Source organism: Homo sapiens, chromosome 20 (genome assembly GCF_000001405.40).
Source record: "Homo sapiens chromosome 20, GRCh38.p14 Primary Assembly".
In the NCBI taxonomy this organism is placed as follows: domain Eukaryota; kingdom Metazoa; phylum Chordata; class Mammalia; order Primates; family Hominidae; genus Homo; species Homo sapiens.
Window position 1 is genome coordinate 15,161,245 of NC_000020.11, and position 27,435 is coordinate 15,188,679.

Genomic DNA, 27,435 nt, shown 5'->3' on the forward strand with positions numbered 1-27,435 from the left:
AAAAATCATTTGCAGGTCTTTTGGGAATGGTACAAACTGGACCTAAATCAAGTTATATTATTATAGTACGATAATTTGAGTTATATTTATATAATATGAAAATTATTAATAAATAATTGTAATAACATATAATAATGTAATATAATATAGTATAATTAATAAAATATTACCTCCTACACACTGGTTAAAAGTGTTCATGTACTATTAACTCTAGTTAAAATCTTCGTGTGTTTCTTCTGATCTTAGATCAAGAGGAATCTCATAATATTTGTACATACTGCCCATTCTAAGTGGGCTACTAGTAAATATACAAAGAAGCTGTAATAAGCATATGGCTTAGTATAGAAGAGAAGAAAAAATCCAGTAAATTACGATTTTCTTCTAAAAAACACCATCTGGATGCTGGTTCAGCTGCATTATCTCACTAATTTACATTTTATTTTCTCAAGAGACAAAGGTATATTCAATAAAAGAAGAAAATCCAGTTTAGAATGCTTGTCTCTGGAACCTGTCAGCTACACTTAATTTCTACGTAGATGCAGAAATGAGGAGTTTCCTCATCAATGTTTAAACAAAGCATAGAATTAATCACTCAACATTCAGAAGAATCAAAGTCAAAATCAAAATAAGATACTTTATTGAATTTATCTCTCCCTGCAGTTTGGAATTTAATCCTGACTAGAAGTCAAAACAAATGCACTTTTTAGATGTTGATAAGATGAAAATCAATCAATCGATATAGGTGTTGTATTGTATTAAAATGGCTTAATGGGGTTAATTAAAAACCATCTTAGAAATAAAGAAGATAAAATACAGATTACTATTCTAACAGTAGAAGGGACTAAATATCGTGAAGAGTCTTACAGCTGAAAACTACCTAGAAGCTGAGTAATAACGGACATTTGAATGACTTGCTGCGCTTTCAAGAAAGTAAAGGAGATCCCCAAGTTTTTGTTTTTGTTTTGTATTGTATTGTTTTTTAAAAAGGACTAGGAGCAGAAAGAGGAGTGGTAGGAGTGGTAAGTAAGAGCTGAGGCTCAGGATGACTTGAAGGCATTGTGAAAATTAATAGCCATAAGAGAAAATGGAAGACTAGACCTTGAACCTGGACAAAGATACGTTTGAATCTGAGATGTTTGCATAAAGTTAGACACTAAGAAGGTTATATTCGTGGTGAAAGGGTGGTCCAGGAAAAAAATCCACCTGCCAGCAAAGAGAGATGTCATAAAACCTGGCTATGTCCATGACTACTACAAATGGAAAATGAAAGTAGAACTAAAACTCAGAATTCTTCTTGAGGATTTGTAACTATCGACATTGCTTCTGTGGCTTTGTGGTTCAAACCCTTAGCACAGAAATAAAAATGATTTCTTTTTTGGAACTACCCTCTGGCAACTGACAGAAGCAACAGTAAATGCTGTGTGGAGGAAACATGCTTAGATAAAATAACTCTCAATACGTATTTGTGTATGTAGAAAAGTTATCTTTTAAGAGCAAGAATAAAATAGCATGATTTCAGATTAACAAAAACTGGGTAAGTTTATAATCAACAAGTTCTTCCTAATATAGCATGCATTCAGGGAGAAACACAATAATTGAAATAATATCAAAGAGGTTTATAAGACAAGAAAGCTTGGTGATAACAAAGGAGAAATCAAGTGTAAATAAACATGACTGTATAAAATAATATGCATTAAACATTAAATTTGGCATTAAACAAATTAGATACAACAAATAAACAGAATACCATGGCAGGTAAGCTGAAAGGTAGATGATCTAAGTTAAAGCATTTTAAAGCCCTTATATTGTTTACAAGGAGATTAAAATAATCTGTAAAGTCTAGTAAACACTGAAACTATAACATGAATTTTAAGTTTGAATTGAACAGAATAGGGTCAGGGATAATCAGTGAATCCAAAGAAAAGACATAAGACTGGAAAAAAGAGAAAATAAAAATGAAAAGACATATAGTTTAGCTACCTCAATTATCACCATAAGCATAAAAAGACTAATTTCCCTGGTTAAAATACAGAGATTATCAGAAGATTAAACTATTCAGGAAAAAAAAAGAACTTTATACTATTTACAAGATTTGTCAGAAATACTATTTAAAAAGATATGATGTTATTAGACAATCAAAGATTGATATGACTGTTAGAAGAAATGAACAAGTCTATAATTTTAGTAGGAGATTTAGAAATAGCATTCTCACTAATTAAGAGGTAAATCTAATACAACAAATTAGAAGCTTTGAATAGTACAATTAACAAGCTTGTAATTTACATAAGTATAGAAACCTGATCTTCAAAATTAGAAATTAATATTTTCTGGGATTTATTGAATAGTCATAAGAGTTGACCATATTCTAGGCCAAGGATCAGCAAATTATGGCTGACAGACCTAATCCAGCTCATGTCCTGTTTGAGTATGACCCTCAAATTAAAACCTTTTTTTTTTTAACATTTTTAATGGATTGTAAATTTTTTTCAAAAAGACAATGTATGACAGAAACCACATGTGGTCCACAAAGCCTGATATATTTACTATGTAAACCTTTACAGAAAAAGCTGACTCATGTTATAGGCCATAGAGAAAAGTCCAATGTATTTCATATGTCATCATTCAATAAATATTTATCAAAACCCATTATATGCTGGGCAATTCTTTAGGCACTGAAAATGATAGCACAGTGAATGAAACAGACAAAAATCCTTCTGAGGACACTTGCATTCTACTGGGGGAGGCAGACAAAAAGTAAAGTAAATAAATAAAATACATAGTGTGTCTGATGGCAATCAATGTTAAGAAAAAAAATCAGAGAAAATAACAATTGTTATTTCGCAAAATTTAATACTCAAAGGACATACAGTGAGCCCTCCATATCTGTGGGTTCCACATCTGTGGATTTAATCAACTGTGGATAGAAAATATTTTAAAAAAATAAAACAAAAGTTACAATAAGAAATAATTCAAATAAAAATACAGCATAACAGCTATTTAAATAACATTTACATTGTATTAGGTATTATAAGAAATCTAGAGACGATTTAAAGTATACAGGAAGATGTGTGTACATTATTTTCTAATATGCCATTTTTTATAAGGGACTTCAGCATTTGTGGACTTTGGTATGAGAAGGTGGGAAGGAGAGAGGCCTTGAACCAACCCCACAAAGACAGGAACAACTGTAATTTATTGGTTAAAAATCATAATAAAAATTTAAAAACACTTAGAACTGAATCATAATAAAATCAGTACATATTAAAATCCTTGAGATGCAATCAAGGTGTATGTTTAATTTTACATGCTATATTAGAAAAAATAAAGATTGAATATTAATGAGGTGTAAGGCTAATTGAAGAAGTAACAGGCTGGGTATGGTGGCTCATGCCTGTAATGCTGGTACTTTGGAAGGCCAAGACAGGAGGACCACTTGAGGCCAGGAGTTCAAAACCAGCCAGGGCAACATAGCAAGACCTTGTCTCTACAAAAAATAATTTAAAAAAGTTAGCCAGGCATGGTGGCTTGTGCCTGTAGTTTCAGTTACTTTGTAGGCTAAGGTAGGAGGATCACTTGGTCCCAAGAGTTAGGGGCTGCAGTGAACTGTGGTCAGGCCACTACACTCCAGCCTGGGCAAAAGAGCAAGACTGTCTCTAAAAAAATAAATAAGCCGTAAAAATATCAATATCAGCATAAATGAGCTAGAAGGAAGAAAGAATAAGAGGTAGAAATTACTGAAGTCATAACAAACTATAGAGAAAATTGCAGAGGCCACAATTCAACAAAAAAGTTGTTTCCTTAGAAATAGCAATGAAATATCTGCTGAGATTGATCAACAAATATATATATAATAGGAGTGAAAATTAAAATATAAATGAAAACAAGCGACAAAAACATTTCACATATAAAGGTAAGAAAGACTTGACACCGGCTGGGTACGGTGGCTTACGCCTGTAATCCCAGAACTTTGGGAGGTTGAGACAGGTGAATCATCTGAGGTCAGGAGTTCGAGACCAGCCTGGCCAACGTGGTAAAACCCCATCTCTACTAAAAATACAAAAATTAGCCAGGTGTTGTGGTGTGCAGTTGTAATCCCAGCTACTTGGGCAGCTGAGGCAGGAGAATGGCTTGAACCTGGAAGGCAGAGGTTGCAGTGAGCCAAGATTGTGCCACTGCACTCTAGCTTGGGTGACAGAGCAAAACTGCATCTAAAAAAGAACAACTAGACACAAATAAATTCGGAAACTTAGATATGATGAACAAATAGGATCCTTGGGGAAAAAAGTGTAATTTACCAATTGTGACTTAGAATTATTGTATCTGGTTTTGTAACCATAAAACAAATTAATTCAGTAGTACAAAAACTTTCCCCAAACAAAGTGACACTTATTATGCGCAGGCAATTTCTACCAAACTTTCAAAATCATTTCAGGATTATTTCATAAAATCATTCCAAAAATATGCACGTTTCCAAACTTATGTTAAGAGGCCAATATAATCTTCATGCCCAAACCCAACAAAGGCAGTGCAAGAAATGAAAAGTGTAAGAATATAAGGGTTTTTTTAACATTAAGAAATATATTAAATAATTTTACCGTATCAAAAATTCAAAATAATATGCTCAAACTAGAAGCAGTCCAAATGTCTATCAATCAACTGGTAAATGCAATGAAAAGGAAGAAACTATGGATACATATTACAACATAGATGAACCTCAAGGATATTACGCTAAGTGAAAGAAGCCAGATGCAAAAGGCTACATATTGCATGATTCTATTGATGCGAAATATTTATAAACGACGTATCCAAAGCAGAATAGTGGTTTCTTGCATGCAGCTGGGGGTAGGAACAGGTATTGACTGCAAATGGGCACGGAGGATCTTTCTGGAGTGATAAAATGTTCTAAAACCAGATTGGTTGGACAACCCTGTAAATTTCCTAAAAAATCACTGGATTTTACTACAGTGGACTGAATGTGTACTTCCAAAATTTATGTGTTGAAACCTTAAGCCCCAATGTAATGGTATTAGGAATTAAAGCCTTTGGGAGGTGATTAGGTTATGAGGGTGGAGGCTTCATGAGTGAGATGAATGCCCTTATGAAAGAGACCACAGAAGGCTCTCTCTTTTCTGAAATGTGAATATGCAAGAAGTTAGGCCTTCAAGAGGGCCTAGAAGAGGGCCCTCACTAGAACCCAAGCAGCCTGGCATCTTAATCTCTTCCAGCCTGAAGAATGTAAAAAATAAATTTCCATTGTTTATAAGTCACCAGTTTATGCTACTTTGTTATAATAGCCTGAACAGACTGAGAGATTTATGCTTAAAATAATTTAAAGGAGACAAAGTATAAGATCATCTCAATAGAAACAAAAAAAAAGTATAAAATACAACAATCTATGCATTTTTTTAAGAATTTCAAACAAATTACAGATAAAAGAGAACTTCTTTAACTAGATTAAGGGTATTTATTTAGTCTTAAATATTTACTGTTGAAACATTACAAGACTTTCCTTTAAAAATCAGAAAAAAAGCCATTCAAGATTATGATGTGGGTCTTAGCTAGCAAATAATTTCAAGAAACAGAAATGAAGGTTTTAAGTTAATACTTAAATTATTAAATTTAAGTATTAACTTATTAAATTTAAGTATTAAGTATTAATTTAAGTATTTAATTTAAGTATTAAATTTAAGTATTTAATTTAAGTATTAAATTATTTAAGTATTAAATTTAAGTATTTAATTTAAGTATGAAATTATTAAATTTAAGTATTTAAATTTAGGGGAAAAATACTAAAATTATTCTCTGATGAACTTATTGTCTACATAGAGCAAAAAGAATCTTCAGAAAAATTACTGGAATTATTAAGAAAGTTCAACAGAGTTTCTGGGTTAAAACACAAAAAATACATTGAGTTTCTATACATTACCAAAAAAAGTGTAAACAGTCTTTTAAAGATACAAGAAGTGTGTAAAAGTGAAGTAAACGTTATAACACTTCTGAATATAACCAAAGTATTGTATATCTCAGGCAACTACTTACTTCTCTTAATAGTGCTCTTTTAATCATCCTAGCTTTATCTGTATTTGTGAAAACTCATAACCCCTACTTAGCATTAGTTGGTAAATGTTGAAATTTAAGATAACCTTGTTTCCTGCAAAGCACTGTTAAGTGGAATGCTCTGGTTCCAGAACATTTTATTCTTCCTCCTCCTCGCTGTATTCAGTCATACATCCCAGAAGAGATCAGCAAAAAATTAGGAAGTTAGAGGTTTACATTTGTCTTTAAAACCTACTCAAAAAAATATGCTTTTTACAATTGCTCTTCAGAGGCCTCCCCTGCTCTCATTATCTACTATAATTACATTATACCTTCTGAAATTCTATATCAAAGGTCAGAGCAGACCCTTTAGGCATGAAATGATTCCCAGCTCTTCACGGACTAGAAGTTCAAAGTGCAAAAAATATAATTCACTCAGTTTATCCTCATGGCTCCACCCACCCAGGTTTTTTCTTACAAACACACCAGTTCTGACAACCTGATGTTCTTTAAACCGTGAGTAGAGATATTGAAGTAAATGAGTCTACCAGGAACAGAATTTCACATTCAGAAATATTAGGTTGTATTCTTCTTGAGAGCAGGACATCTTTTTACCTTTGCAGAGACCACAAAATCTGGAAAAATAAGCACTGGCAGAATGTATGTGGAATATGTAAAATTAGATACGAAGTATACAAGGTCTTTCCTCTGTCCCCACACCTCTCTCAATCATAAAACAAAAGTAGAAATAATAAATAGCATGACTAGGTAAACTGGCATTTGAAATACATAATTCTTATAAAAGCCAGCATGACCGTGGGGTGTGTAAGAGTGGTGTTTATGTTACTAGCAAAGCTCCTTGCTCAAAGCCTGGAGGGACTAAACAATAATACTTCACATCAGCGTGATGTGGTGGAGCGATCACTGGGCTAAAAATCAAGAGATTCTGGGCAGTTCTGACCTTGGAGACGGCACTGACTATTTCTCTGTCACCTCAGGTAAGTCACTTACTTTCCCTGGGCCTCTTGATTTTAATACATATAAATCGAGGGCATTCTAGGATCCTAGGATCCTATGCCAAGGATGAATACACTTTCTGTGCTGCCAAAAGTTTGCCGACATGGTCAGCTAAAAGCCTCTTCCTCTCTCCACATTGTGGGATGTGTGTGTGTGTGTGTGTGTGTGTGTGTGTGTGTGTGTGTGTGTGTGTTGACATGAATTATTTCCATCATTTAAAAACTCAGAAAGATGGAATTGAAAGCAGGGACTCGAACAGATGCTTGTACACCAGCGATCATGGCAGCATTATTCACAAAGGCCAAAAGGTGGAAACAACTGCTATGTCCATTGGCAGATGAATGGATAAACAAAATGTGGTAGATACATTCAATGAAATATTACTTAGCCATAAAAAGAATGAGCCAGGTGTGATAGTGAGTTCCTGTAGTCCCAGATACTTGGGAGGCAGAGGTGGGAGGATTGCTTGAGCTTAGGAATTTGAGACCAGCCTAGGCAACATAGCAAGACTCCATCTCTTGAACAAAAGAAAAAAATGAAATTCTGATATATGCTAGAACATGAATGAACCTTGAAAACATTATGTTTTGTGAAATAAACCAAATCCAGAAGGACAAATATCATATGATTCTACTAATATGAGATATCTAGAGTAGTCAAATTAATAGAGGTAGAAGGTAGAATGGTGGTTTAAAAAGGCTGGAGAGACAGAATAATGGGAAGTTATTATTTATGGGTATGAGTTCAATTTGGGAAGATGAAAAAGTTCTGGAGACAGATGGTGATGATTGTTGTACAATAATAGTGATATACTTAATGCCACTAAACTGTATACCTAAAATTGGTTAAAAGGGTACATTTTATGTTATGTATATTTCACCACAGTTAAAAAAGCAGCTCAGGAAGATGAACAAAAGTAGCTTGTGTTTGTATTTCATGCTAAGAATGCATTCTATTTCTCTTTTCCCAACTTTTTTAAGAATAAAGTTCTTCAGCATGACATCAGATGGAGGGGAAGAGGAGTGGAGGACTATTTCTTGAGCTACTCAAGTGAAAGGAAGTGCAATACTTTTCAGTAAGCTGAAAATAAGCTGGAGATTTTCAGTTTTTATAGTCTTTTTTGGCCTCTGGATTGCTAGAGTTCATTAACAGAGCCACGTTCTTGGCTAAGGGGCCACCGTTTTTCTTGAAGGAAGTAACTGCACCAGCCACTATCAGGGTACAAGACATTTATTTGCAAGAATTAAAAGAATTAGCACATCTCTGGGATGACCCAGTTATTGCAGAGGGATTTAAGCAAGGAAATTGTCTAGTTTTCTCTAAGAAGAAAAAAATCAAGTTGTCTTTACTTAATGACCACTGATGTAGTTTTAGTCATATGTCCTGTTCCAGTATATCTGTCTTTTTATTGCTATGCACTTTTAGCAAAATTACAAGATGCTTTATTGATGATAGGCACAAATGACCTGAAAGCTTTTTTTTTTCCTTTTATCAGATGTGGGCATTTCCCTCAGAGACAATTCTGGTCTTTTAATGAAGATGAATGTATCAGTGAACTTTGTTATTTATTGATGACTTTCCTATTTTCTATGATGGTTTTGTTGTCACTGTATTTTACTTAGGTTAGTTATATCCATCAACATAATCTTCTTTGTTGGAATACTGGGATTAAGATCAATCTATCTCTCTGTTAGTTTTATGCTTTTGCTGCCCAAAGAAAGCAACATGCAAAACACGGCCATGTTGCCTTACAAGCCAGATGGTAATCAGTAGTTAATAGAATTGGAAGTACAGTTAAGGTTTATTCTTGTAATTTATTCAAAACTCAACAACTCTTTAGGTTAGCTTGCTAATTTATAACTATCTAGTTTTTCCTAAATTCCTAAATTGAAGATAAAGCTGAATTCTTTTTTCAGGATAATAGAGCATGTATTGTTCAGGGTTCAATTTAGGAAGAAAAACCACATGAATATTATGCAATAAGGGACTTACTAGTGACCTAAGAAGTCATACAATATTTGAGAAGGTAGAGAAGTAGAGATTAAAGCATAGCATAGGGAGATCAGAGAAAAGTCACTACCTACCCTTCTGAAGCACTGAAGCCTACAAGGATAAATGAGAAGTCAGGTAGGACCAGCTTCTGGAGAGAAACTGCAGAGGAACTGTTGTGCTTGCATCTGATGATGGGTCTGGTGGGCCTGGTAGTCAGCAGCCCTAGAGGTCTGGAAGAAGAGCTGGCTGTGCACAGGGAGAGTTAGGACATGCTGGCTCCTCACCATCTCTGACCAGGACCATGACCACCTGAAGAGAGCAAGGGCAGCTGCACCAATTCATCCTCAGAGCTCCCACAGATTCATACTCTGGCCAACTCAAACCAGAGCCATTTAAGTTGGGGGACTCTGGGAAATGCAATTCCTGCACAGCCATGTGACACAGTACAAGCCCCAAAGAACAGTGTTTTCAGTTGTCACAGGGAAGAAACTTTAGGGTTAGCAAAGGCTTTTCAGCTTCCCCAGAGAAAAGCTGCTGAAGAGTTGAAAATACCAAGTGTTCCAGCATTAACATGGTGCTGAACACCTAGACACCAACCCACTGCTGGCTGCCCAGCTTAGAGAGAGAGATTGGCAGGGCTGTTGAGCACCAGGCAGTTAGCCTGGGTGGAAAGTTTTACTCAGTATGGCAGGGCGGTCGCTGTCATCTAAGACCATGGAAAATTTCAGAGACCCTAAGCTAGAGTAAAGTAGGACCCTAAGACGACAGCCAGAGAGAGGAGGAGAGCCAAGCAAAATCCCCCTGGGGGACCTAGCGTGGAGGAGGATCCTAAGAATCTTCTTCCCAAATCACTTAAGTTCGAGGTTTCTGTTTATTGGCAGTACTTAGACTGGCCTATTTCATCATCATGGTCTCTGTAACCTCTTCCTCCATCACTTTCCCTCCATCTCCCCCTCTATTACTCCTCCATCACTTCCCCTCTATCTCTCTCCCTTTGTCTTTCCCTCCATCTCTCCTCCTCCACCACTGTCTCTCTAGCTCCCTATCCAAATTTGCCCCTCCATCTCCTCCCCTCCATCCTTCCCCCACCTTTCTCCTTGTGTCTCTCTTTCTCCATTTCTCCCCTTCCATCTCTCCTTCACCATTGCTCTCCTACCTTCCCCCATCACTCTCCTTATCACCCCCTGACCCCATAGTCACTTTTACATAGTAACAAGATTCAATAAGCTCTTTGTAGTATTAGAATCTTCACAAGTTGCTTCCTGATCTGCAAAAACTTAACTTGTACTTTCTTTAGCCCTTACATCCCACCATCCCACTCAGTCTCTCTTCTCTCTCTCTCTCCCCTCTCTTTCTCTCAATTGTTTATACTTCAGGTCTCAGCTAAAAGTCACCTCTCCAAAGAGACTTTCTTTGAAAACACTTTAAATGAAATATGTTCTCCTCCTTCTATCCCATTATTCTCTATCACTGTGTTTTGTTCTGAAATCCTTCCTGACATTCCCACAACTTAAATGATGTAGTTGTATTTTCATGGCTCCTTTGTCCCACACACTACACTCTAAGTTCCCTGAAGACTGGACCAGGTCCCTTTATCAGCAGTGTCTACCCAGCAGCTAGCACAATACCTTGCACATGGAAGGTGCTTATTAAATTCTTCCTGAATAAATAAATGAGTGAATGAATAAAAAATGAATGAATGAATACAGTCAAATTTTAGAGCTTTCCAGAAGGGAAATATTAAATAAGCATATTCTAATTAATTTTTTTCTTAAAAGACCTAAGCTCAAGATGGTTTCCCATTTTGATTTTTGAGATCAATCATAGGAGTCAGAGAAGCATTCATAAGACAGTGAGAAGCTTCTAAGATTCTGTCATAGTTACCAGGGATCCCAAAATGTGTACAACAGTGGAGGAAGAGGCAAAAAGGAAAAATCTGCAAATCTTGTAGCCTCAGGGACTCCAGTGGAAAAAAAAATGGAGGTTGGTGGGAGTCAGTTAAAGAAGGCCAAAAATCTGGAGACCGGACAAAACAAGTTGGGGAAGGAATATTGAGATCTACCAAGAGAAATTCCACTTGCCTTTATAAAATTGGTAAATATTTCTTTCCTTCTCTTTCCTTTTTTATTTTAGAGAGAGGGTCTCAACATCCAGTTGTGCAGTCATAGCTCATTGCAGCCTTGAACTCCTGGGCTCGAGCTATCCTCCTGCCTCAGCCTCCTGAGTGGCTGGGACTATTGGCGCCTGCCACAATATTTGGCTACTGTTTTGTTTTTTTTTCTTTTGTTTTGTTTTAATTTTGTAGAGATGGGATCTCACTATATTTCCCTGGCTGGTCTTGAAGTCCTAGGCTCAAGCCATCCTCTAGACTTGGCCTTCCAAAGTTCTTACATTAGAGGCGTGAGCCCCTCACTTGGCAAAACTTGTAAATCTTTATGGAGTGCCTCTCTTGAAAAAGATCTGAACATTGACTAGTCAAGTGCAGATTAATAATTATCAGCAATTTATTAGCAACCTGCCAGTAGAGCCATACTAAAATGAAAATACAATTAATTGGGGAAGCATTACTGTGTATGTGGCTTGCTGAAAATTTACTATTTTACTAATCTGTAAGAGAAAATGCTTGAAAGCTTTCATGCATGTTATGAATAAGTTTGCCCCCATATTTCAAGTGACATAAAAACCATTCAAAATGAACAGAAACTTAAAAGAATATTAATTAAAAAATATAACGTGAACATATATAAACTGTGTGTGTGCCTGTGTGCGTGTGTGTTTGTGTGGGTCTGTGTGTTAAACTTTTTTTATCTTTTTCAGGGACTCAAATATTTTGCAAATTTTAAATAATAAATCTATGAAAATTAATTTAACCCTAGACTCAAAGAAATTATCCATTACTATTCAACTTTATCTAATATATAATTAATTTTGCACATTGTTTCTAAATAGTTGCAGGTTTGGATTATGATTTCCTGAAAATGCTTCCTTTGATATTTGCTTGGATGAGAAAGTGAGAACTCACTCACTGTATGTTTGCTAAACAGACCTATGTAGTTAAAGAGAAGCTGTCCAAAAAGATTCTCTATTTCAGCCCAATGGAGCATATTCATTATCAGATCAAAGTGATAGGATTTTTTTTATCTTCTCCTAATTGGGGGTAGGCAATTTCCTTACTCACTTTGGCAAATCGAAGGAATGTCTTATTGTAGAGAAAGAGGCTGTGATCCCTAAATGTCAATGCAAAAACCTTCATCACATCACTCTTGTCCCATGTAGCACAGAGAATCCATTCCATTAAGGTGAATTCTGGAAGCTGGCTGAATTTCAAGCTGTGTTTTAATTCAATTTTTTTTTGGCAGACAGTTTTAAAGGGAAGTCAAAGGTTATAGCTTGATAATTGGGTATAAATACAGTCATTTCAGTGGGCCTCAGATTCAGTCATGCAGAACCAATTTTTAGCATGGTGATATCACGGTTGCATATTTTTAATTGAAGCACTCATAAGGAGTCCTACTGTAATCTGAGTATTACTACATTTTTACCCCTCATGAACTCAAAGTATAAGTTAATGGTATACAATGAAATGTTGCATTGTTGACTTTATCTTTCTTACCTACATGTCTCCTGAAGCATAGACTTCGAGATAAAATGTTTTGTTCATTGGTTAAAAAAGTGTCTGTATTCTCTAAGCTACTAATCAATAATAGAAGTTTCTTTTATAAGTCTGAGTGCAGCATAATTTATCACTGAAAACTTACTTCATTGCTAAAGCCCAAACATATACACCCAAGACTTTTAAATCATGATTTTCCTAATGCTTATTGTGCATTTAAATGGTAATTTTAGACTATGTAGATTATTATATAAATGACAAATTTTTATTATTTTTACACTCAAGTGCAATGTCTCGTCTTAATATAAAATCTTTAAATGTATGGTTTCTTCATATCTGTTCTGCTTTCTTCTATTTGTAACAAAATGTTACTTGTGGCCTTTATTATTTAGGAGAAGAATTTTAAATTGATTAAGATAATAATCCAGCACATATTTTTTAAGTAAAATATATGAGCATAAAAGATTTGCATGGCCACATTTTCTTAATCCAGTCTATCATTGTTGGACATTTGGGTTGGTTCCAAGTCTTTGCTATTGTGAATAGTGCCGCAATAAACATATGTGTGCATGTGTCTTTATAGCAGCATGATTTATAGTCCTTTGGGTATATGCCCAGTAATGGGATGGCTGGGTCAAATGGTATTTCTAGTTCTAGATCCCTGAGGAATCGCCACACTGACTTCCACAATGGTTGAACTAGTTTACAGTCCCACCAACAGTGTAAAAGTGTTCCTATTTCTCCACATCCTCTCCAGCACCTGTTGTGTCCTGACTTTTTAATGATCACCATTCTAACTGGTGTGAGATGGTATCTCACTGTGGTTTTGATTTGCATTTCTCTGATAGCCAGTGATGGTGAGCATTTTTTCATGTGTTTTTTTGGCTGCATAAATGTCTTCTTTTGAGAAGTGTCTGTTCATGTGCTTTGCCCACTTTTTGATGGGGTTGTTTGTTTTTTTCTTGTAAATTTGTTTGAGTTCATTGTAGATTCTGGATATTAGCCCTTTGTCAGATGAGTAGGTTGTGAAAATTTTCTCCCATTTTGTAGGTTGCCTGTTTACTCTGATGGTAGTTTCTTTTGCTGTGCAGAAGCTCTTTAGTTTAATTAGATCCCATTTGTCAATTTTGGCTTTTGTTGCCATTGCTGGATTAAGAAAATGTGGCACATATACACCATGGAATACTATGCAGCCATAAAAAATGATGAGTTCATGTCCTTTGTAGGAACACGGATGAAATTGGAAATCATCATTCTCAGTAAACTATCGCAAGAACAAAAAACCAAACACCGCATATTGTCACTCATAGGTGGGAATTGAACAATGAGAACACATGGATACAAGAAGGGGAACATCACACTCTGGGGACTGTTGTGGGGTGGGGGGAGGGGGGAGGGATAGCTTTAGGAGATATACCTAATGCTAAATGATGAGTTAATGGGTGCAGCACACCAGCATGGCACATGTATACATATGTAACTAACCTGCACATTGTGCACATGCACCCTAAAACTTAAAGTATAATAATAATAAAAATAAAATTTAAAAAAAGATATGCATGGCAAACTTTTACAATGAATATAGAAACCATGAATAGTCATTTTACCACCCAGGTTTCTTGTATAATTACACTACTTAAAATGTTTAGTTGCTGAATGCTAATGGTAGACTTAGTCATATTGACTTAGCTATTGGAAAATTCATGAAATATAAGATGACTTTGTGCCTGCCATTTGGGGGATGAAATAGAAATTTCAGAGAGAGAATTCAAGCAAAGAGACATTACAATAATTTATGATAGGAGTTTTCATGTTTAGTTTTTTATACTGATGGCAGTGGCGGCCCATCTGGAGGAGCCACTGCAAAGACACTGGCTGCAATGGCTAGGTGCAACCATGGCTGTGTGCTCCATAGAGCCAGTGGGGGCCAGGAACAGGCGGGAGCCCCAGCCCCTACCAAGTTGATGGGGCAGGAGCCCAGTGTTCCTGGGTGCAACAGCAGCTGCCCGACTGTGGCTCCAGACCTGGGAATCTCTGCACTCTCGGAGGCCTGGGAAGCCCTCCTGCCCCAACAGGCTTAGAAGTGCCTGCTTCTGCCCCCTGGCCTCTCCCTGCTCCCAGTACCCTCTCTGCTGCAGAGCAAAGTTGTGGCTGAGGCTGGGTGCTGTTGCAATGTGGCCAGGTATGTGTATTCTCAGAGGTGCTGACACGCCAGCCCCCTGCTGCCTTGGCCCCCTCTAGACTTTGGGAACCCAGGAGCATGGGAGGGAAGCAAAGGAGGGGCTGAGGGCAGCTTAGTGTGGGCCTGCAGGTACCCCTTGGCAGGAACAGCCTGGGCGTTGTGGATGGCATGTTGATGGCAGCAGAAGGCAGACAGGCTCCTGGACAAAAAGGGGCAGGTCCCTGGTGAAATCCCACCTTCAAGCCTGAAGCCTGTGGGCTGGGCTGCCAGTTCCTGATGAAGTCTGCAGCCCAGAGTGAGAACTTATGGTGCTTTTTCTGGCCCTGCCCATGGCCACCTATGGACTAATCAGCATGCACTTCCTCCCTTATGAGCCCATAAAAACCCCAGACTCAGCCAGACTTGAACAGACCTCAGGACTACCAGCTGCAGGAAGGAGCTACTGCCTACGAGTCTCCTCTCTGCTGAGAGCTGGACACTCTTAGGGATGACCTGCTTGTGGAAATGAGCTTCCCACTTCGGGTCTCCTGAGGGCTGTTCTGTCACTCAATGGAGCTCCTCTCCACATTGCTCATCCCCCAATTGTCCATCTATCTCATTCTTCCTGGATGTGGAACAAGAACTCAGGACATGCCAAATGGCTGTAACCCAAGCAGAACTGTAACAAACAGGGCTGAAACATGCTCCCCCTCCTTCCATGTTGCAGGCAATGAGAAGGAGAGAAGAGCTGCATCCCTTCAGGGAGTCCAGACCTAGGGAATCCCCTAGCCAGAGCTGTGACACCCTCTTTGGGGCTCTGTGGTTCCTGGCATCTCCAAGGTTCCAGATGCCACTATATTCCCCTCATCTAGACATGGGTACACACAGCAGAAGCTGTGTGCAGTACATCTGGTCCAGTTACAGCCTTGAATGGAGCTGGCACCTGTGCCAGTGTCTGGAGCTGCCCACCCTACTGCCACAGCCTGCATGCCTGGCTGTGCACAGTGACCAGACCCTGCACTCACTTGCCCACACACCTCTCACTTCTCTGTGCCTGGCTCACCTTTGGTAGGTGTGGGATCCAGGACAGTAGCGTGAGCTGAGTGCAGCCTGCTGGGCCGAGTGGGTGGAATGAGCCCAGTGGGCGTGAACAATACTCAGGCAGAAAGGTTTCTGGCTGGCAAAGAGACACTCCATAGATCCCATGACAATACTATTTGAATTGTGAGGAAACACCAGATTGTTCTAGAAGGTTGAATACGCACTGGTCCAAACAGATTTCTTGCCTTCCTCCCTGCCTGTTGGGGGTGGAGTGGAAAGGGGAAGGTGAAGATTGTCATTGTGTATGCATTTGTTTTAAACCTCTGTAGCCTGACTTTCCAAATTGAAAAATACAACTCTGCCATTCTGTGTTCACACATGTCAGAGCTGCTGCAGAAAACTCCTCTTTGACTCATTCATCGCCATTGAATCTGAATTTATTTTCAGTGGTATCCTGACAGGAACTTTAAGACTGAACTCTGCATTTTTTCTGTTTTCCCAGTCATCTGCCTCATTCTATGTTGAGGGTTTCACTAATGAATGTGATGTTTGCTGGTAAATAAGTAAATAAATGCACCTGTACAATTTACTTCCTTTTCTGGAAAGACAGAAAGAACAGAATACTAGCACAAGAAAACTTTTTTTTTCCCTCCTCTTGCTTGGTTCTACTTCAGCTCAGTTACTTTTGACAAAGAAAATGAAAATTTAAATTTCCATTGAATGAATTGGTGTCATGGCTATTATTTAAGAGTATAGAAATTAAAGCTGCAATTGGGTCGTGTATCATTTGCTTACCCTAGATGCACATTATATCCTGGTATAATGAAAAATGGCATGCTTTTTTTTTTTTCTTTCTCTGTAGTGAACCATAACTGAAAGCAGGAAGCATTGGTTTACACTTTGCATCAGAGTTGTGGGATTTCTATATGGGTACAGTAGTCAGAATCCATTCTAACTGTGAATGCCAGAAACTTAATTTCTATAAAATGTAAGAAAAATATGAGAGTGAATGTACTGCCTCAGGTTACTTAAAAGCCGAAGCAGTGATTGTGACTTCAGGTAAGGCTTCATCCAGGCATAAAATGATTGTCTTCAGGTCTCCAGTTCTTTCTCTCCTTCCTTCTCTTGATATTGTATTACTTTATGGGGACTGTCTCATGCAGGTACTTCTCAGCTGGCAGGAAAGATGCCTCTACCACTCCACTCTAAAGTAACCTTAGTAGTGGCTACCACTCTGTAAGTGCATCTTATGGGCATCCTTCTTCAAACTTTAATGACTATGAGGTATTTACTTAATCCTCACAATTATTCTGTGTGGTTATGACATTTGTCCAAAGTCACAGAATTATAAAGATTGGAAGTGGATTTGCCTAGCTAGTTTGGCTCCAGCACCTATGCATGCATATAACCCTTGCTCTAAGTTGTTACGCTAGAGCTTGAGATCTACAGAGGAGAAAGATGCTTTCTCTCTTTTAACCTCCCTATCAATCCTGAAAATGGGATCTGATGTCTCTGCATGAGTCCTTGCTCAACCTGCACCAATCTCTGTGTCCTGCACCTCCTCCCATCAGCATATGATATTCATCCACAACAGCTGAGGGGCAGGTTCAGAAGGGAAAATGTGCATGGCAGAATAAAATGTTACAAATGACCACTACAGCAGGCCAAGCTGCCAATTTTCCAGAAAGGTCCCTGGCATTGCAATGTTCCATATGGAAAGCAGCTCATCTGGGTAAGCATGCTTTTCCATGGCTCTCTATGCTTTGTGGTAATGGGTAGTGACCACAGTATAGCAGGGGCAAATTGAACAGCTGAAGAAGAGGATGGAAGAGAAGACAGGACTATGAGGAAGCATAAGGGAGGATTGGGCAAGATGGAGGCAGACATGGTGTGGTTACCTGAGCAAATACTGTAGCTGCTAAAATTCTTAGATAAGCCTGAGGTTACTTTAGGCTCCTATATAACCTAGATTGAGCTAATCAGAATTTCACACAAAAATCCAGAATAGTGATTAGTTACCTTTCGTGAGAGTATTGACTGGTAGGTGGCATGAAGGGGCTCTCTGGAAATATTTTGTATCTTGCCTAGGGTGGTGGTTACCTCCATGTAAATATATAGGAAGTTATCAAATGGTACTTAAAATTTGTGCACTTTACCTCATGCTTGTGCTAGCTTATTTTTTTATTGACAGATATAAACAATTCTACCTGTGCAGAGACAAGCCAGATTGTTTAGTAAATTACCATCCAGATTTCCTGGATTGCCTAGTTAACAAGCTACTTGGAATCAAAGCCCCCCACTCCTCCCACCCTCTCCCGGAGGAGTGTCTGCACCTGAACCCAAGTTTCACAAATTGCCAGATGCTAGCAGCTAACACTCCCAGACATCAGCCCTAAAAAGGTGGCATCTGGGTGCAGACTGTTTTGCACTCACCCCCAGACTGTTTTTACCCTGCTTACAAGACAGCTCTCTTCTCATTCTAAATAAAGGAAAGTGGCCCTTCTCCAAGAACAGCCTACGGTGCATCCAGCTGGCCCAGCCCCAAGGATACCAGTCCACAGGATGCTGAGAGCACAGGGACTCTGGGTACTCTTTTTCCCTCCTACCTATGAATTACAGCATGCTGCAAGTGATGCTATTAATGTGTTTTTGGCATTGCCAAGGTCATTCTTACTAACCAACACCTAGGCCTTCTTGCATTTTGATATTATTGGACAATTTAAAGATTCCCAAATTGCATCTCTGCGTTAATGTGTTAGGGATGCCATGACAAAATACCACAGACCAGATGGCTTAAACAATAGGAATTTATTTTCTTACAGTTCTGTAGTCTGGAAGTCCAAGATGAAAGTGTTGGCAGGTTTGGCTTCCTCTCCTTGGCTTGCCGATGGCCACCCTCTTGCTTACTCTTCATATGGTCCTCCCTTTGTGCACCTGTGCCCCTGGTTTCTCTCGCTTTTGTGTCTAGTTCTTATAAAGACACCAGTCAGATTGCATTAGGGTTCATCCACCCTAATAGCCTCATTTTAACTTAACCCCCTCTTTGAAGGCCCTATCTCCATATACATTTATATTCAGAGGTACTGGGGCTTGGGGCTTCAACATGAATTTGGGGTGGGACACAATTTAATCCATAACAGTCTGTTTTGCTGGAATCAACTACAATGACTGTTGATTACAAGGAACCTGAAAATACTTTTTTTTATCCGTTTAGCTTTTTGCTCAGTCTAATTGAATTCGTAGAAATTTAGATGGGGTATAGTTCAAGCTAATTATGGTGCCTGTGCACCCAGACAAATTGTGGTACAAAATCTAAACTTCTATCTGGTGAATTAAGGATAAGTAGAAAATTAATATCATGTAATGTTTGAGAATTTCAGAAATGAATTCCCCTTTATTTCATTTGCAGCTGTTAGCCTGGAGGAATTTCTAGTTCAACAGACACACCATGCACGATCATGTCACTGGGCCTTTGCATGCACCGTGCCCTCTCTGGGAACACTTTTCCCCCTATAGCTAATTACCCAGCTTTTCTCTTCTCTAGAAGCTAGTTTTGTCCTTACATCTAAATATCTACGCTCCGTGGTTACAGGCCAGACTGGTGTCAAACTCCTGACCTCAAGTGATCCACCCGCCTTGGCCTCCCAAAGTTCTGGGATTACAGGCGTGAGCCACTGCACATGGCCAGCATACAGTTTTAATTCAACACCTCAAAATGGACAGCATCATAAAATTAAGAAAATGTGATATGTTTTTTCTAGTTATAATCATCATGTTCTAAGTGCAATTTTATATTCCAATTTTTTATTAATTATGTCGTAAACATTTTCTGTGTTACTACAGTGACTTCTTAATGATTTTATATGCAGTGGTCCCATTAATTTAGTAGAATAAAAGTTACACATGTTTTTATTGTGCATTTGGGCTGTTTTTCATTACAGTTGTCCCTCTATATACAGGGGGACCTTGACCACACCAAAATCAGAGCAGATTCAAGTCCTACAGCTGGCCCTGCAGAACCCGAGTATAGAAAATTCAGCTCTCCATATCTACAGGTTTCACATCCTACACAGACTGTATTTTCGATTCACGTTTGGCGGTGGATGCAGAATCTGCAGATACAGTGCATTGATTATATTTATTGAAAAAAGAAACCTCGTATAAAGTGGGCCTTGCCATTTAAACCTGTGTTATTCAAGGGTCAACTGTATTTGCAATTATAGCTAATGCTGCAATAGGTATCTTCTTCCTAATAATAGCTATTAATTAATAGAATAAAATATCAGGATTCAGGTTGAGAGACAGGACCATATTGATTACTCTGGATTAATATTGTCATTAATGCTTGTCCAAAGTACTCAACTGCCAAAGGCCAACAGCAGTGTGTTGGGGTTATATGTCTATCCTTTTGGATTAAATGTTAAGCAATGAATTTTAGAAAGTGTGTGTGTGTTTTCCTTCCTTTTACATATACTATGTTATATAACCTTTTTTTGCTAATTCTAAGACCGGCCCGTTAGAACTATTTTGTTGTTGTATTTGGATAGCATGCTTGGATTACTATAGATGGTGTTCCTTATTTTAGTACTTTCTAGGAATGCATTTTGATGTGAATTTTCACATTCAAGTCTGAGAAACATTCCTCTTCCTGTTGCCTTATATTTTTACACATCTCACCATGTCCATCCCTTGACTTTGCTTTTTATTGCTAAATTCAATTCCTCTTGGAAATGACGGGCCTCTGCATTTGCAGTTAGTTATGCCTTTGAAGAAGATTATTTGCCTCCCTTGAGTTTGTGATTTCCTAAATCCAGTGAATGCTCTGCTCAAAGAAAGTTTCCTTTTGTTGAGAATCAATTCATCACTTTGAAAAAAAAAAAAACTTATGACAAAATAGGTGGTCAGATCATACCCCTAGAGTACAGGACCTTCACATCTGTTCTGCTGTAGAATTGAGTAGAATGAAAATCTGAAACCAGATTTGTGGTTAGCAAAAGAACAGACCCTAAAAGGCAATAGTCTAAGTAAAACTCTGCATCCAATTTTTATTGCTTCTGCTGTTTTGCTTCAGATATCTTTTCATATTCCTAAGCTGTCTTCCCATAGTAACAAAACTATAAATTCATTTAGTGGGGGATAAGAATAGTGGAGAGAGGGAGGGGAATAAAAAATCAAATGGGTTGTTGGAGCAATAAAGCTATTGGTAAGTTTAATGCTGACTTTAATCTCCAGGGTAAATGATTGTGCAATTGTGTCTTACATTTACAATCTAGTGAGCTGTGAATAAAGGTGGTGGGGAAATATGTAAAAATGTGGGCCAGGAAACCAGCTAACAAGGTCATAAGCTCAGACACAAAGAACCTAGTTGATTTTCCTGGGGCGGAAGACCCTGAATCCAGGATATTCTAATCTTGGCTCATTAGACCTTAATGAGGGAAGAATAATTTATATCAATAAGCCAAAAATTTATCTTTTCTGGCACTCAGAGCACAGGAGCATTATTTATAACTTAGAGGCATGCAGGTGTGTTCCCCTAGGCATCTCTTTCTATCAATATTTTAGGAGACTTCCTGATTTGCCGTGGAGAAAAACTGGAGACATCTGGTATTGTGTAGGATGGTTGATACTTTTACAAAATTCATTCATTCACATAGCATTTCTTTACTCATTCATTTAATCTTCTGGCGCTGACATGGAGGTACTCTATTTAGGATGTGTTCACCGTAAGGGTACATCTTAAACATACCTATGCTTTCATTGATGTGACGTCTATAAACATGTACAGACAGGTACCTGCAGGTAAATGGACAAATTAAAATATCATTATGAGCTACATGGTCAATTCATCATTTTTTCCAGTCAGAAGCTTTACTTGGTTTACTTTGTTGTAAAATTGTAACTGCTTTTGTACAAGCTGCCTTCTGTCCTCCCATTCTCATTTCCACCACCATCTATAGAGGTATTTGGTTGCATTTCTTGCCTTTATTAGCCCACATGGAATGGTGGCCAGATCCCAGAACTTCAGAATACACTTACACTGCTTGTGTTAAGTAAGAGGGAAGATAATGCAGTGAATGGGAACTTGTTGTCATAAAAATAATCACAGAAATTCTACATTCCCATTCCTCAGCAGTTAAAAATTGGATCTTGCCAGGTATGATGGCTCACTCCTATAATCCTAGAACTTTGGGAGGCTGACGCAGGAGGATCGCTTGGGGCCAGAAGTTCAAGACCAGCCTGGGCAACATAATGAGATGCCATCTCAATAAAATAAAATAAAATAAAATAGTTAGGCATGGTGGCATGCACCTGTAGTCCCACCTACATGGGAGGATTGCTTGATCCCAGGAGTCTGAGGCTGCACACTAGCCTGGGCAATAGAACAAGACCCTGTCTCTTAAAAAAAAAAATAGATCTTATTTACTATATTGCACTCGGATAGTTATTCTGGATTATCCTTTCCCCATGCCCCATACCTCTAGTATATACTCAAATAAAGCTATTCTTTCTGAAATAATTATCTTTTATGCAGAAGTGAAGAGAGCAGAGAGTAAAACCTCCTGATGTCCATTGCAATGGCTAGACCAGCAACATTGTCTTAAGCCCAAAACAGTAGGCAGCATCCAGAATGATAGGCTTGTGGTGTTCCCAATCACATCCTGAACAAAAGCCCTTGTTTTATCACACCACAAACATTTTCACAAGTGTGCATCTTCCCCTGGAACAGATACAGCCACTACCTGGAACAAGATGAGGATAACCTATCAAATAAACACACAGTCACTGCATGGGCCTGGAGCCCCAATTCTTAATGGCTTAAAACGAAGGAGTGTCAAACTCAACTATCTGCTGGAACTAGACTGGGTGTGAGGCAGGAGGGAGTGGGGGATGCTGCATAAAGTTAAAGAACCCAGGCCTTATTTAAAGGGATCAGATGCTACTCAGTCTGAATCATTCCGGATAGCGAATGTTTCAAGGAACCCTCCCCTTTTAAAAATTATTAGCAACAAAAAATTCAACTGTTTATAATACTGTGCGGACCAACACTGCCTTAGACAAATATAACATCCAAAGGAATAGATTGGGCCCATGAGCTTACTGCCCCTGCTTCATGATATCCTAACTAAAAGTAAGCTAAGAGAACAATTCTATCTTTAGGGGAAATACTGGGGTTGGGTGCCTTCCCATGGATTTGTAAATCTAACTCATGTCATCCCCTTCAAAAGGAATGACCTGCTCTGTCCACTGCCCCCTGTTTTTACCTATCAATATTTTACCCACATGTGTCAGTCAGAACAGGGTAGTTGCTATAATAAACAACCCCAGCATCTCAGTGACCTGATAAAGGTTTATTTCTCATTCACACAAAGGCCAATGTCATCCTCCTAGTTGAGTGAGTCTCCTGTAAGCAGTAAACTTGGGGATTTAGGGTCCTTCAAACATGTGGTTCTACCCTCCCAAGTCCTCCACTTCTAGACATGTGGACAAAAGAGAGAAAATAAAGGATAACGTGGAATATTTCATGGCTGGACCTGAGAGTGGCCTTCACAGCTTTCATCAACATTGGCCAGCACTCAGCCACCTGATCTCAGCCAGGTGCGACAATTCTGGGAAATGCGGTCTTCCCAGTTCCCCAGGAGGAAAGTATCAAGTTAGTTTTCACAGGCCAGCTTAAAAACCTCACTGATCCAAGAGCACTCTCTGATAATGCTAATTAGAAATACGCTTGCCCTTCCATTCAATTAATATATGTTTAAAATACACCTGCAAGTCATATTGTTGGCCCTAGAGACAAAATGATAAGATGACCTCCATATCTTTCGGGAGCTGTTGTTTCAGTAGGGAGGCAGGCATTCAAACAACTCTATGATAATATGATGGGAGCTTTAATGGACTACTAAATACAGTGGGGGCAGATTTGAAGAAATGCTCTTTAACCATGTGGAGCTTGACACTTTGTTGATTGCATGCACATCTTGTCTTGTTACTGTATCATAGGATCCTTAAGTACATAGATCATACTCTATTTATCTTTGTATCCTCCCTATTACCAGACATCTAGGGGTTCCCATAAACATTTGTCAAATTGATGAATGAATGAGTTTCTGATGAAAAGGGAATAAACACAGACTCACCATTTGAGAAGAAAATAATTAGTCTGTCAGCTTTTAATAGTTTAAACTTTTGGTACATGAGATAATATAATATTCTTTTGAATTCTTTTCTTTCTGATGCCTCGAAATGTCTATGGTGGCTCATTCTATGATTTCCAAATAGATTATCTTCAAATAATTCACAACATTTAGCCCTAAATTACAGTTTCCTGAGTGTGTAACAAGTGGTGATTTCATTTAAGCAACATGCTGTATCATTTATCTGGGCTAAAGTGGATCAGATTAAGTTTCAAGGCAATTATGTCATATTTTTGGTGAGTATAGTCATTATTAGCTTAGGAACTCTTTAAAGGAAGTCAGTTTCAAATGTCTTCTGCCTATTATTAAATTTACTACATAATTAATTTATAAATATAACGACTTAGATGGTCTGATAACAAAGTTAAAATTAACTAGGCTGTCCCTTCTTTGTATTGTTGGACGTATTCAATAAAAGCAAAAGAAATCTCAGTTTCTAAACTATGAACCAGAGGCCATCCTCCTGCTTAGTTCAGAGTCGACTAATCTGTTGTTTGCTAAATAAGTCTTATTCTAACAGCAATACTAGAAGGAAATGAGTTTCCACCATTTATCATCAAGTTTCAAAGTGGATATTCAAACTCCTGTCGGGAATTTGGGGGAGAAAACGTTTAGGAATGCAGTATTATATATCACTCACTCATGAGAAATGACTCCTTGTTTGCCAGCCTAGGAATCAAACTTGGAGCCATTTATGTCAACAAAAGACTGGGGTATGTGTATGTTTTCACAGATGGATGGAGAGTGAATGTAAACCAAAGACAATGGGGTCTTTGCCTGAAAACCTGCCTTTATGCTTATCATGCAGTGAAAACACCTTTTTTTTCTGGAGCGCCCTGAACTTTGTCTATTTAGTCTGGGCCTTTTTGATATATTGCTTCACATTTTGGGGGTATCTGCTTTGGCTGTGTGGCTCTCTATCTAGATTTGAAAGTTATTTGTTCCACTTGTTCTTTCTCTCCTTCATCATACCTGGTGGATTAGGCAGTCAGCAGACGAACTAGCACCCAGGTTCTGTTCACCTGCACACCTGCTTTAATGCATTTAGCATTCAGTTGGCACCAGATTCTAGACAACCTTGCCCTCCAATGATCTGAAGTCTACTTTTTTCTTTTATGGAATATTTTAAAATATCAGTGTGTGTGGGTCTTGTCTTCATAATTGAATTCTAGGCTCCATAAAACAGGAACTGTTCACTGTATTTCTTCCGGACTTAAGACAGCAGCAAGGAAACAGGAAGTGCTAAATAAGTATTTGTTGGAGATGGTATACCCAAATATACAATAGTATATGTATGAATGCATTATTGGGTTAAATCTGGTAAATCTGGGGTCTGGGATTCAAAATCCTGGACCCATGAAGTAGAATAGGAAAAAAAAATTTTTATTGTTCACTAACTACTAACTGAAATTTATATGTCCTTCAATGATGAATGTAGTCCTTGAACTCCAAAAGTTAACAGCAGTGCCTGAAACTTGGCCTCCCATGGAAGTCTCAGGTATTTTTGTGTCACACTCCACTTGCGGATATCTTAGAAGTCTCATTTGTGTTCCTAACTGCTTCAAAAGTATGCTAGCTATTAAAACTTCAACTAAATTTTATTCATGTGCTAATCATGACGCATATTTTAACATCTGATAAGTTTTTAAAATATCTATGCCTATTTTTTAAGAAGCATATTTTAGTATAAATCATTTTCTTTGTAATCCTATATATTGTATTTTATTCATTTGGAAACACTACTATGTGAACAGTCCATAGCACCACCAAACTGCCAAAGAGCCAGCGACATGATTGATGGTTGAGAGCCACTGCTTCAGATCTCACTGGCACATAAGCTAGTTTTAGGAGGCTGCTTTGGAGTCCAGTGAACTGGTTTTAGAAGCCAGGATTTTCATTTTACTGACTGTGTGACTTTAGGCAAATGACATTTCCCCTTTATGATGACCCGAGGTCTTTTCCAGCTGTGAATTCTGTGATACTTGTTTTCAGACATGTTAAAATATGCCTTACATCAAACTCAATAATTTTATTAAGCACTTGAACACACAAAAAAGTAAAAAAGATTCACAATATAAATAAGTTTTAAAATGGTTTAGATAAATCCTTGGCTAATAGATCTATTATGGATCAACTAAAGTCAGCCTAGGAGGAAAGGAACCTTGTATGCACACCCAGCATTTAAGGTTACTGGACAATGAGACAGCTGTCCCCATGCACAACAGGGACCATTTCAATATATACTGGAACATCTCTCAATGATAACCAACAGCTTTTCCATGGACATTCAGTGTAGTTAAGGAGAAAATTAGCCATATTTTCCTTCAGTGCCTTTGATTAAACTCTGATGATGTTTTCTGAAAAGGAACATCAAAAACTAGGACCTCTGGAGACAGACATGTTGTAATTATTATTACAAATACTTAGCATTTTTATCATCATCATTAATTACATTTCTCCTTTAAGGGTTTATCATAATCTCCAAGCCTGCTATTTGTTCATTTGTTCATAATTATCCATGAGTAAGCAATTTGTTCTGTGTTCTCAGAAATTGGTTGTTTAATATTTGGTTCATTTTTAAAAATTGTTTCACAAGGGAGGTTCAAAAAAGTTGTGTTTTTCTTCCTTTTTCTTCTGGTATTAAGGATACTTCTGATGTCCTTAATTATCCTGGATTCTCCCTCCATCCATCCCCTACACACGAATGTAATGGGGGCTTTCAGAAACACAATCGTAGGATTTTTATAAAATTCGGCACATCAATCTAGGAAAAGAACATTCAATGGTAAGACAGCCATCATCTTTGATATATTAATATATTTTTGCATAAAGTCCTCACTTTCTCATATAAATTATTCCAGTCTTATTTGACCTTTGTTGTCGAGGCTGTCTATCATTGACAAAGCAGAACTGACCACTTGCCTCAATTCCGTATCAAAGTTTATTTTCCTTCACCTCCCTCTGCCCCCAGTTCAATGCTGAAAAGGAGCCAGGGGAGAAAGAAGTAGCAGATCAAAATAGAAAATACCTACTTTGTGCTCAAATAACAATAAAATATCCATAATGGCGTGTGTTCAAACCTCTGTATCTCCAAAGAGTCGAGCAACATGGTTAGTATATTAACCTATTAGGGTTAGCCGATTCTAATCAGGTTCAGTGTCTGGGCAGGGCCCTCTGTTTTTTGTGCTAGCAGTTTCCCTTGAAGCCAGACTATTTAGTGGATTCAGCACTGTTCATTTTGTGTGAAAGCCCGTATTCTTCTCTTCATACTTTTCAAAGATATGCTTTTCTCATTGTAAGCCCAGGTCATAAGATGATGCCTCAAGTGCATTGCGAAACATTTATTATTCTGAGAGACTCAGGTGATGAAAACTCTATGTGTT

General features: G+C 38.0%; 1 protein-coding gene across 3 annotated transcripts in view, besides 1 other annotated feature; it reads left to right on the plus strand.

Annotated features, from left to right (window-relative positions):
• Positions 1 to 27,435, plus strand: part of MACROD2 (mono-ADP ribosylhydrolase 2) — a 2,057,682-nt gene that overhangs the window by 1,165,729 nt on the left and 864,518 nt on the right. The gene's annotated exons all lie outside the window — the stretch shown is intronic.
• Positions 1,199 to 1,288: an enhancer, noted in NCBI's record as "active region_17555". NCBI's record gives its function as "activates an Ori minimal core promoter by ATAC-STARR-seq in GM12878 lymphoblastoid cells {active_cell/tissue: GM12878}" and the evidence as "EXISTENCE:reporter gene assay evidence [ECO:0000049][PMID:35858748]".